Raw genomic sequence first — 12,498 nt, 5'->3', positions numbered from 1 at the left:
TAGCCTTATAATGAAATTGAAATAGATTCCATTCCATTCTTTTTTTTTTTTTTTTTTTTTGAAGCAGAGTTTTGCTCTTGTTGCCCAGCCTGGAGTGCAGTGGTGTGATCTTGGTTCACTGCAACCTCTGCCTCCCGGGTTCAAGTGATTCTCCTGCCTCAGCCTCCCAAGTAGCTGGAATTACAGGCATGCACCACCACGCCTGGATAATTTTTGTATTTTTATTTTTAATGTATTTATTTATTTTTGAGATGGAGTTTTGCTCTTCTTGCCCAGGCTGGAGTGCAATGGCGCGATCTCCGCTCACGGCAACCCCTGCCTCTGGGGTTCAAGCGATTCTCCTGCCTCAGCCTCCTCAGTAGCTAGGATTACAGGCATGCGCCACCACGCCCGGCTAATTTTGCATTTTTAGTAGAGAGGGGGTTTCTCCATGTTGGTCAGGCTGGTCTTGAACTCCTGACCTCAGGTGATCTGCCCGCCTCAACCTCCCAAAGTGCTGGGATTACAGGCTTAAGCCACCACACCCGGCCTTCCATTCCATTCTTTAATGACATTTTGTCCAGGTGCCTGAAGAGTTTTTTCTTTATCCTTAAAGTTCAGTAACTTGGCCGGGCGCAGTGGCACATGCCTGTAATCCTAGCACTTTGGGAGGCCGAGGCGGGCTGATCACCTGAGGTCGGGAGTTCGAAACCTGCCTGACCAACATGGAGAAACCCTGTCTCTGCTAAAAATACAAAAATAGCTGGGCATGGTGGCACATGCTTGTAATCCCAGCTACTCGGGAGGCTGAGGCAGGAGAATCGCTTGAATCGGGGAGGCAGAGGTGGTGGTGAGCTGAGATCTTGCCATTGCACTCCAGCCTGGCAACAAGAGCGAAACTCTGTCTTGAAAAAAAAAAAAAAAAAAGTTCACTAACTCAGCCAGTATGTTCCTATGTTGGTCATTGTGAATTTGCTTCCCTGGAGTAGTCATGCCCTCGCAGTCTGTAGAGTTGGTTCTTCGTTTCAGGAAGACTTTCTCTAAATAGCTTTTTGTTTCAGTTGTTGGATAATCTACTTCAGGGAGTGCAGTCACCCTGATGTTGGAAGGTCTGGGACCCATAATGGTCATTTTCTCTCTAATTGTTTTAATTTGTCTTTTTCTCTAAATTCACTGCAATTATTTCAAGTTTCTCTCCCACACTATTCCCTTGCTTTTCAGATGCATGTACTATGTTGTAACTCTGTTTTTAGATGTGTCATGGTCCTGTTTTGGTTAATGCGTTTCCTCCCCTCTGCAGTTTCTTTGCATTTCCTGATATATATATTTTTTTTGTCATCTCTCCTTTTTTTCTTTTCTTTGAGACAGAGTCTCGCTCTGTCACCAAGGCTGGAGTGCAGTGGTGCAATCTTGGCTCACTGCAACCTCTGCCTCCTGGGTTCACACCATTCTCCTGCCTCAGCCTCCTGAGTAGCTGGGATTACAGGCGCCCGCCACCACACCCGCCTAATTTTTGTATTTTTAGTAGAAACAGGGTTTCACCATGTTGGCCAGGATGGTCTCAAACTCCTGGCCTCAGGTGATCTGTCCGCCTTGGCCTCCCAAAGTGTTGGGATTACAGGCGTGAGCCACCGTGCCTGGCCTGTCATCTCTTCTTTGTGCTCTTTTCATTCAACTTTTTTTTTTTTTTTTAAGAAATGGGGCTTCACAAGGTTGCCCAGGCTGGTCTCAAACCCCTGGGCTCAAGTGATCCTCCCACTTGGCCCCCCTAGCAGGTGGGCCTGACAGGCGCGCACCACTGCACCCGGCTCGTGCTTTTTATACCTGGTTCATATTCTCATTCACTTTTGTCTAGCGCGAAGCTATCAGTTCCAAGAAAGCCACTCAGGTCCTTGGCTCTGCTGGCTTTCAGCTGTGCCCCTGTGTGATTTCCTTCCCTTTCCTGGCACTTGCGTGTAGGGAGGCGTTGCAAGTTTTTTTCATCTTGCTCGGTTAGCTAACTCCTGACGTTTTACTTGTTCTGCTACGGGAACCTTCCTGTCTTCCCCGAAGAAGGGCAGTTTTGAGGCTGCATTGTTTTCAGTTGGGTAGCCTGAGTGCGCAGAGGTGGGTGGGAAAGTCCCCCCGGCTGAGGCCACCCTGCTGGGGGCCACAGGTCTTCTCTGTCCTGTCATCCCCTAAACATCCTGTGCCCAGCCTTCTGCCCTACTCCTCACCCCAGCAGCTGAACACGATAGCCTTGGAGGTCCCTTCTCACTCTGTCACCCAGACTGGAGTGCAGTGGCAAGATCTCGGCTCACTGCAACCTCCGCCTCCTGGGTGCAAGCAATTCTCCTGCCTCAGCCTCCTGAGTAGCTGGGACCACAAGCGTACCATCACAGCCAGCTCATTTTTGTATTTTTAGTAGAGATGGGGTTTCACCATGTTTGCCAGGATGGTCTTGGATTCCTGACCTCAGGTGATCCACCCACCTTGGCCTGTTGGCTCACTCTTTTCCCAAAAATTTGTCATTGTTGTGCATGTGGTCAGGTATTGGGGTTGGGGAGTTCGCCCCTCATTCTGCCTTCTAAAGTCTGAACTCCCCTCCTCAGGAGGCTCTGCAAAATGCCAATCTCCAGGGCCTGTCCACCCCAAGAGCAGAGGTCCGTGGGTCTGGGTGGGACCTCTCCCTCCCGCCCAAGTGATGCACCTGAGCAGGCTTGGGGTTGAGAAGTGCAGACTCATCCACCAGGAGCATTTGCATTTTACTCAAATTAAAGAAATGCAGCCCTGCTTATGTAAGTCTATATGGCACTGAAATTGAACAGTCCTGGAATGTCCAAGTGGGTGGGCGGACTTGATTATCAGCTTCCAGTGAGGGTCATTCTATTGGTGAGGCCTCGAGGCACAGAGAGGCGAAGTGACTTGCCCAAGGTCACCCAGCATGTCGGCAACAGGCAGGTTTGAAGAACTGGAAATGGTGACTCCAGACCTGGGGGCTGGGATCAGGGTGGCCCACTTCAGGGAGCAGGAAGGTCTTAAAAATTTAATTTTAATTTTTTTTTTTTTAAGACGGAGTCTTGCTCTGTCGCCCAGGCTGGAGTGCAGTGGCGCAATCTCAGCTCACTGCAACCTCCACCTTCTGGGTTCAAGTGATTCTCCTGCCTCAGTTTCCCAAGTAGCTGGGACTACAGGCATGTGCCACAACACCCTGCTAATTTTTTCTATTTTTAGTAGAGAAAGGGTTTCACCATGTTAGCAAGAATGTTCTCGATCCCCTGACCTCGTGATCTGCCCACCTCGGCCTCCCAAAGTGCTGAGATTATAGGCATAAGCCACTGCACCAGGCTAAATTTTAATATTTTTTTTTGAGACAGAGTTCACTCTGTCCCCCAGGCTGGAGTGCAGTGGCATGATCTCGGTTTGCTGCAACCTCCACTTCCTGGGTTCAAGCAATTCGCGTGCCTCAGCCTCTCGAGTAGCTGGGACTACAGGCATGTACCACCACGCTCGGCTAATTTTGTATTTTTAGTAGAGATAAGGTTTCACCATGTTGGCCAGGCTGGTCTCTAACTCCTGATCTCTAGTGATCCGCCGGCCTCGGCCTCCCCAAGTGCTGGGATTATAGGCGCGAGCCGCCGCACCTGGCCAGGAAAGTCTTTTAGTATGAGGAACCCATTATCATTTCCGGGCCTCACAGAAGAAATGGTTGTGGCCTTCCCATGGGAACTTTTGATCTTGAACCTCACGGAGGGAGAATGGCCAGACCAACGGCTCACTGCCACTCCCAGCCCTCCCAGGAGCAGTGACCTCTCCACCTCCCCTCGTCCCCGCCCCGCCCCCATCCACGCACGGTCCAGGCAGCAGTGTCCCAGCAGAGCTGAGCCCAGTGGTGAGTGTGGGCCGGGCAGCGGGTGGAGAGGTCCAGGTAAGGAAGCAGTATCAGAAAAGGTGGGGAGACTGGGATTAGGTCGGGTCAGGCCTTTCTGGGAGGATCCCACATCCATCCGGGGAAGAAGCTACAGGCTACTTGGGCCATGACTAGCAGCAAAGCTTGGCCCTCTGACCGGGACCCTGGAGGGCAGTTGGGCCAGGATGTCCTGCTGGGGCGCCCTGGGTGTCATCAACCCCTGGCGCTGTTCTCATCTTGCCCCACTTTGCAGTGATCTGGAGGGGCCAGCCTGGTGAACATCAGGCAGATCCTCATTCGTTTCATGGCCTTGGTGATTCAGCTGCTTTGGCTGTGAAAAGGGAAAAATTACTGGACCCCTCCGAATCCCCTGCGGTTGTGAGGATGAATTCGTGTGAAGAGCTGAGCTGAGATACAAAAATCGCAAGGCCGGGCGCGGTGGCTCACACCTGTAATCCCAGCACTTTAGGAGGCCTAGCTGGGTGGATCATTTGAGGCCAGGAGTTTGAGACCAGCCTGGACAACACAGTGAAACCCCCACCTCTACTAAAAATACAAAAATCAGCCAGGCGTGGTGGCGTGCACCTGTAATCCCAGCTACTTGAGAGGCTGAGGCAGGAGAATCACTTGAACCCGGGAGGCGGAGGTTGCAGTGAGCCGATATCATGCCACTGCACTCCAGCCTGGGACGACAGAGCGAGACTCCATCTCAAAAAAAAAAATGACTTGAACCCGGAAGGCAGAGCCTGGTGCACTCTAAACACAGGAGCTCAGGAACCGCGAGAGAGCTCAAAATAGATCCATGACACAAGGTGACAAAGATAGTATTGGAATTTTTTGGTGAGGATATGGGAAAAAGGATCCAGCTGTTCACCACAAAACTGAAATTTAATTTCTCTGGGACGTTTCTGCTCTTTCCTTGCTAAACTTCCCTCCTTCTCCTTTCCCGCCTCCCACCCGGCCCCAACATCCCCTCTATTGTCCAGCCCCAGCCTTCTGCTGGCACAGCCCTGACCAAAAGCGGGGTGTGGGGGGTTGCCCACAGCGGCCCCCAAGTGTCCCTGGGACGCGTGAATCACGACAAGGGTTACAGCTTGCCAGGCTCCCACTGCACACGAAGCACATTTGGACATTGCAGACTCTGCATCTCTGTGGCAAGGACTGCCACAACCCCCTTGGACCCAGGAACCCCCAGGAGGAAGCGCTAGTACCGGGTGTCAATGTGGCTACCCAGCGCCCGCTGCTTCTGAAGCTAACCTCGAATGCGTCGCCCACATCCATGGCTTCTCTTCTGGGCGCTTCACAGTAACCGTGGAGTAAGGTGGGTAAGTTACCGCTACTCATTTTCCTTGAAATCCCATTTCTCAGGTGAGAGAGAAAAGCTCAGAGAGGCCAAGGGCTCGGGGCAGCTGTGGTGCCACGCCCAGCCCTTTGGTCTGAACTGCCCCATAGACTGCATACAGGTCCCATTGTGTCCGGACTTGGTGGGTTCTTGGTCTCACTGACTTCAAGAATGAAATCGCAGACCTTCACGGTGAGTGCTGTAGCGAGTTCTACAGTTCTTAAAGGCGGCGTGGCCGGAGTTTGTTCCTGACGTTCGGATGTGTTCGGAGTTTCTTCCTTCTGATAGGTTCGTGGTGCGGCTGGCTCAGGAGTGAAGCTGCAGACCTTCGCCGTGAGTGTTACAGCTCCTAAGGCGGCGCGTACTGGAGTTGTTTGTTCCTCCCGGTGGGTTTTTAATCTCACTGGCTTCAAGAGTAAAGCTACAAACCTTCATGGTGAGTGCTACAGCTCATAAAGTCAGTGTGGACCCAAAGAGCAAGCAGCAGCCAGTTTTACTGCAAACAGCAAAGCTTGCATAGTGTGTAAGGCAACCACGGCTGGCTTCGGCAGCCCGCTTTTATTCTTTTATCTGGCCCCACCCGCATCCTGCTGATTGGTCCATTTTACAGAGAGCTGATTGGTCCGTTTTGACAGGGTGCTGATTGGTGCGTTTACAATCCCTGAGCTAGACACAAAAGTTCTCCACGTCCCCACTAGATTAGCTAGATACAGAGTGTCCATTGGTGTATTTACAAACCCTGAGCTAGATATAGAGTGCTGATTGGTGCATTTACAAACCTTGAGCTAGATACAGAGTGCCAATTGGTGCATTCACAATCCCTTAGCTAGACATAAAGATTCTCCAAGTCCCCACCAGATTAACTAGATACAGAGTGCCGACTGGTGCATTCACAAACCCTGAGCTAGGCAGAGGGTGCCGATTGGTGTGTTTACAAACCTTCAGCTAGATACAGAGTGCTGATTGGTGCATTTACAACCCCTTAGCTAGACATAAAGATTCTCCAAGTCCCCACCAGACTCAGGAGCCCAGCTGGCTTCACCCAGTGGATCCCCCACGGGGCCTCAGGTGGAGCTGCTTGCCAGTCCCGCGCTGTACGCCCACACTCCTCAGCCCTTGGGCGGTCAATGGGACTGGGCGCCATGGAGCAGGGAGCAGCGCTCGTCTGGGAGGCTCGGGCCTCGCAGGAGCCCACGGTGGGGAGGGGGAGGAGGCTCAGGCATGGCGGGCTGCAGGTCCCAAGCCCTGCCCTGCGGGGAAGCAGCTAAGGCCTGGCGAGAAATCGAGCACAGCAAATGCTGGCCCAGGTGCTAAGCCCCTCACTGCCCCGGGCTTGCGGGCTGGCCGGCCGGCCTCTCCGAGTGCTGGGCCAGCCGAGTCCACGCCCACCAGGAACTTGCGTTGGCCCGCAAGCGCCGCGCGCAGCCCGCACCTCTCCCTCCACACCTCCCAGCAAGCTGAGGGAGCCGGCTCCGGCCTTGGCCAGCCCAGAAAGGGGCTCCCACAGTGCAGCGGTGGGCTGAAGGGCTCCTCAAGCACGGCCAGAGTGGGCGCCAAGGCCGAGGAGGCACCGAGAGCGAGCGAGGGCTGCAAGGGCTGCCAGCACGCTGTCACCTCTCACCATGTCCTGTCCGCTGCCGACCGGCCGCCTCCTGAACCCCTTGCTGTCTGTGATGACGCAGAACCACTGTGCGTCCTAAGATCATAGGCAGCCTGTCGTCACGGCTAATTGTAATGATGCTTCCTCGCCAGGGTTTCATGCTTCTGAGTGTGCACTGCCGTCCGATTTTGTTGTTTTCTCTTGGCTTTGGAGAGGGCTTGGCTCTCAGCAAAGGAGATGTGGAGTGAGCCACTCTCATCTTTGCCCCAGTGCTTTGGTGCCTGGGGTGCCCGGGGTGTCCCTGGGAGTGTCTGTGCTGTTGAGGGCACCTGCTGAGGCCTGCATCATCTTCCCTGAGGCAGAATCTTACAACTTTCGGGGGTTGCTGGCTCCTTTGACAACCTGAGAAAGATGGTGGTCCCTTTCCCAGAAATCTGCAGAGACACACAAGAATAATACATGCACTTGAGGGGTTTAGATACCCTCTGACATCTATTTCAGGATTTTCCAGGGGTTCCTAGAGCCTGGATTGAGACCTATATTATGGGGTGTTGTCTACCTGTTCTGCCAATTTCTAGAGCTCCAAAACCTGGATGCTTACATTATGATTGGATAGCTGGGTGTAGCCATGCCTGAAGAAGGCTTCTTTTTTTGAGACTGATTCCATAAAAGGATTAGTTTGAGAATGGCTGAGACCCACTGAGTGAAAACGATGTCCTGTTTATTCACCAATCAACTTCTGCACAAATATATGCGGCAAACAATGAGTACATATAGTGTCTACGTATTACAGTACAATAACCTTCACTGAGATCCAGACACTCCGTTATGGGCTGAGCAGGCATTATCCTATTAGTCTTCATAATCCCCCAGTCGACCCTGTGGGGGATCTGTCAGAGTGGTGGGAAAAACTATAGGGAAAGGATGCAAACCTTCCGAAAGGTCAGAAGGTTTTGCAGAGCCCTGGGGGAGAATAACTGAAGGCAGCTGTTCTATAACCCTGAGGCAGAGGGCAAGGAGTAGGTACAAGGGAGTGTGGGGGAATTTATCTTAAAAGGCTTGTTTGTTTATGTTGTCCAGGAACTGACCTTTGATCATGCGGGTGTGAGGTTCCCTGAAAGGGGAACAATACCTTTTTTTTTTTTTTGAGATAGAGTCTCACTCTGTCACCCAGGCTTAAGTGCAGTATCACTGTCTCTGCTCACTGCAACCTCTACCCCGGCAGGATTCAAGCAATTCTCCTGCCTCAGCCTCCCGAGTAGCTGGGATTACAGGTGCGTGCCACCACTCCCAGCTAATTTTTGTATTTTTGGTAGAGACGGGGTTTCACCATCTTGGCCAGGCTGGTCTTGAACTCCTGACCTCATGATCCACCTGCCTTGACCTTCCAAAGTGCTGGGATTAGAGGCGTGAGCCACCGTGCCTGGCCACAGTAATTGTCAGTTACCTGCAGGTCGTGTCGGCTCCAGGTTTTCCACATTGTGCCTGCACTGAATAAAAGCAAGCAGCTCCAGCTTCTTGGGGCTGCTCTCTGGCCACTTGAGCCAGGCAGTCACCCAGCTGCTCTTATGCTGTATGCCTGTGTCTGAGAACTCATTTCATCCGTTGGCCAGGGTCTATGAGACAGATCTGGCACCACCCCACAGTATAGTGCTGTTATGAGCTCCCTGAGGCACAGAGAAGTTAAATAACTTGCTCAAGGGCTGAAGGTCACACAGCAGGTGGTAAAAGTGGCCTTTGACCCCAAGCAATCTGACTCCAGGGCCATTCAATAGTCTAAGAAATTGCAGGCCTGGCATGGTGGCTCATGCTTGTAATCCCAGCACTTTGGGATGCTGAGGCGGGCAGATCACCTGAGGTGAGGAGTTCAAGACCAGCCTGGCCAACATGGTGAAACTCTGTCGCTACTAAAAATACAAAAATTAGCTGGGCGTGGTGGCTGGCACCTGTAGTCCCAGCTACTTGGAAGGCTGAGGTACATGAATCGCTTGAACCCAGGAGGCAGGGGTTGCAGTGAGCCAAGGTCGCGCCATTGCACTCCAGCCTGGGTGACAGAGCGAAAGCCTGTCTCCAAAAAAAAAAAAAAAAAAAAAGAATGGAAAGGAAATTGGTAGGTGAGGCTGTCCCCCATCCTGTTCTGGGACTTGAATCTGTTCCCCGCTCAGGCCACTGGATCCTGCTGGGGCCCAGGCAAGAAAAGCGGGCTCTAGACCAACCCTGCAATTGCATTTTTCTAGAAAGCCTTCATCACACGTTGCAGCTTAAGGTCCCAGTCTAGGGGTTCTCAACGGACTGTATCTTGAAGTGGCATTTGCCTGGCCCGGCAGGGAGACAGGACTCTGTTCTCAGGCAGATTTGGGTGGTAACATGACCTCATTTGACTCCCAGGCTGGCAGGGCCTGGGAAATATCAGTTTATGCTTGTTTCCAGAGTTTTAAAGGAGGTTTCCTTTGCCTCTCATACACTGCAAAATGCCTGCTTGGAGTGATGCTTTGCTACTTGCTTCCTGGTTGCCGAGTCTCCCTTTAAGTTCTGAGTCTCTCTCTAAGAGGCCCTTTGGTGTTGGAAGGGGCTTAGAACCCTGGCTTTGTCATGAGTCCCTTTCCTGAAAACAGCTCCCGTGCAAGGCTGTTCCACTTCCACATTCTCAAACACCCTCCCTCCCACAGATCCCCAGCCCACCCCGACAGTCTTGTCCAACTTGAGGATGGAGGTGACAGCCATCACGGAGTCTAATGCCCTCACTTTTTTTTTTTGAGACAGGGTCTCACTCTGTTGCCCAAGCTGGCGTGCAGTGGTATGGTCATGGCTTACGGCTCACAGCAGCCTCAACTTCCCCAGGCTCAAGAGATCCTCCTGCCTCAGCCTCCTGAGTAGCTGGGACTATAGAAGCACATTACCAGCTGGGCTAATTTTTAAATTTTTTTGTAGAGACCGGGGTCTTGCTATGTTGCCCAGGCTGGTGTCAGACTCCTAGGCTCAGGTGATCCTCCCACCTTGGCCTCCCAAAGTGCTGAGATTACAGGTGTGAGCCACTGCACCCTACTCCCTCACTTTTGCAGATGGGAAACCAAGGATGAAGGAGAGGAGAATGCCTTGCCCAAGACCTCAGTGCTAAAATTCTCGGCAGCTGTGGTTTGTATTCACCTGGGGCTGGCAGCATCGGGACCACCAGGAGACCCGGTGGAAATGCACACCTCTGGGGCGCACTCCAGACTTGCTGCATCGGAAGCCATGGCACAACCAGCTCTCCAGGTGACTGAGGCTAACACAAGTTTGAGAACTACTGCCCTGGCCCTTGCTTTCTCGGCTGGGACTGACGTTCTGCACAGGTAGGACCCAGTGACAAACTTTCACCTCCCAACTGCTCCATGTACCTTGGTCCCCACAAAAGCCTTCCTCACACACAAGTAAACTCCAGAAACAAAGGATAGGAAAGAGCTAGAAGCAGACACTGGTGGTTATGAACATCTTCACATGATAGACAATGCAGCTCCAAAGTGAGGAAAACTGGCTTGCTATTTCAGCACAAACAAGACGCCAACCAGCCAAAAACATTGGTACACAAGCAAAAGAAAACCTAGGCCAGGCACGGTGGCTCACACCTGTAATCCCAGCACTTGGGGAGGCCGAGGCGGGTGGATCACCTGAGAGGTCAGGAGTTCAAGACCAGCCTGGCCAACATGGTGAAAACCCATCTCTACTAAAAATACAAAAAATTAGCCGGGTGTGGTGGCCCGCGCCTGTAGTCCCAGCTACTCGAGAGGCTGAGGCAGGAGAATTGCTTGAACCCAGGAGGCGGGGGTTGCAGTGAGCCAGAATCCCACCATTGCACTCCAGCTTGGGCCACAGAGCAAGACTATCTCAAACAACAACAACAGCAACGAAAATAAAAAACAGAAAGGAAAAGAAAACCTAGGCTGGGCATGGTGACTCCCGTCTGTAATCCCAGCACTTTGGGAGGCTGAGGCGGGCAGATCACCTGAGGTGGGGAGTGTGAGACCAGCCTGGCCCCCATGGTGAAACCCTGTCTCTACTAAAAATACAAAAATTAGCCAGATGTGGTGGTGCACGCCTGTAATCCCAGCTACCTGGCAGGAGAATCACTTGAACCCAGGAGGCGGAGGTTGCAGTGAGCCAAGATCATGCCACCACGCCACTGCATTCTGGCCTGGGTGACAGAGTGAGACTCTGTCTCAAAAAAAAAAAAAAAAAAGAAGAAAATCTAAGTGAAAACTGCTGAAGCCAGCTGGAAAGCGGCTTCTGTTTGTCCAGATGAAGCCAGCAGAAGTAACAAGGGAGCCTTCAGTGACCTGGGGCTCCGTCCCCACTGCCTGGTGCTGGCCGTGGGGCTGCAGGATTTTAAGGCCCTGCCAGCCTGAGGCCCCGTCTCCTCCTCCTATCTTATCCTCCCATGAGAAGGCAATGAGACAGATGTCTTCGCAGCGCCCCTTCACCCACTCACCCGCCCATCCGCTCATCTATCCATCCAACAAGCTGTTATTAGGCACCGGCTGTGTGCCAAGTCCCTGGGGCTGGAACCCAGATCTGGGGCAAAGGTACAGACCCTAAGCTGAGGCCTGTGGAGGGAGTGGCAGGCCCTGTGGGGCAGGGGTCCTGGCAGGTGTGCTGGGGTCATCCCCATTGTGCCGCTCGCTGGGCTGGGGCTCATACAGCCAGGTGGCCCAGCCTAGAGTGTGCATATCCTCACAGTGAGGCGGTGGCCAGGCTGGCACAGGGCACTTTCTGCTCAGGAAAGGGGTCCCGCGGGTGGGTGCTGTGTCCTTTCTGCTCTTCCTAGGTGAGGAGGGACCACAAAGGAGAGCACAGGGTGGCTTCAGCGGGGGTGGCTGGACACTGGGATGGTCAGCCTGGAGGTCACTTGGCCGTTTCAGCCTCCTGGGCACCCTCCCCAACTCCTGCTGGCCCAGGTGCCCTGGGGTCTTCACCCTCACCCCACTTACTCCAACACTGCTCTCTCCTTCCCCCGGGGCGTTTCCCTCCCTGCCTGTGCCCTGGTTGAAGGCTGAACCATGCCTGGAGCTCTGCTCTGGTTAAGAAATGTTTGTGGAATATCTGACCAAAAGGATGCTGCAGCAGCCCCGGAGGCCAGGACCAAGTGGCATGTTGATGGTGCAGATGAGACACTGGGACTCTGAGAGGCCACAGAACTTGCCAAGGGCACTCCATGGCTGAGGAAGGGGCCAGGTCCCGCCCATTCCAGACTGGCTCTCACTGGGTGCAAGGGACCTGGTGGCGACGGTGGCCGCACGGGTCTCTGTCCTTATATGCACATCCAGCCATGCAGGCGGGTGTCTGTGGTGGGGCTGGCGTGGGCTGACCTCCGATCTCCCTGGTGCTGACTGCTGAGTTCATCTTTGAGGTTAGCAGTGTTAACTGCCTCCCTGTCACAGCGTCTCAACGCTCCCACAGTGGTGGGGGCCACAGCGCAGGGGGCCACCCCTCTCTGAGCCCGAGCAGGGCTCTGGGCAGAAGTCCAGGAGTCTCTCAGTGTCTCTGATGTCCTTCCTTCTAGGCGGGGGTTTCAGATCTGGTAGTGGTGGCTCTTCAGACCCTTACTCCGCATCAGCAGTTCCCGGGGCACCATTGCCACCTCCCACCCCAAGAGTCCCTGCTCCAGGTTCTATCCTACCAAGGAAAGTCTTCCCTACAGGAAGCAGGGACCTG

The 12,498-nt window shown here is 53.3% G+C and overlaps 2 annotated features.

Moving 5' to 3' along the window:
* Window positions 1,990-2,079: an enhancer, noted in NCBI's record as "active region_10090". NCBI's record gives its function as "activates an Ori minimal core promoter by ATAC-STARR-seq in GM12878 lymphoblastoid cells {active_cell/tissue: GM12878}" and the evidence as "EXISTENCE:reporter gene assay evidence [ECO:0000049][PMID:35858748]".
* Window positions 5,985-6,584: an enhancer, noted in NCBI's record as "H3K27ac-H3K4me1 hESC enhancer chr15:91368815-91369414 (GRCh37/hg19 assembly coordinates)". NCBI's record gives its function as "activates a minimal SCP1, AML or CMV promoter by ChIP-STARR-seq in primed H9 embryonic stem cells {active_cell/tissue: H9 hESC(primed)}" and the evidence as "EXISTENCE:reporter gene assay evidence [ECO:0000049][PMID:30033119]".

The sequence above is a fragment of the Homo sapiens genome, chromosome 15, assembly GCF_000001405.40.
Source record: "Homo sapiens chromosome 15, GRCh38.p14 Primary Assembly".
In the NCBI taxonomy this organism is placed as follows: Eukaryota; Metazoa; Chordata; class Mammalia; order Primates; family Hominidae; genus Homo; species Homo sapiens.
The sequence above is the reverse complement of the archived record's forward strand: the minus strand, read 5'-3'. Positions and strand labels throughout refer to the sequence as shown.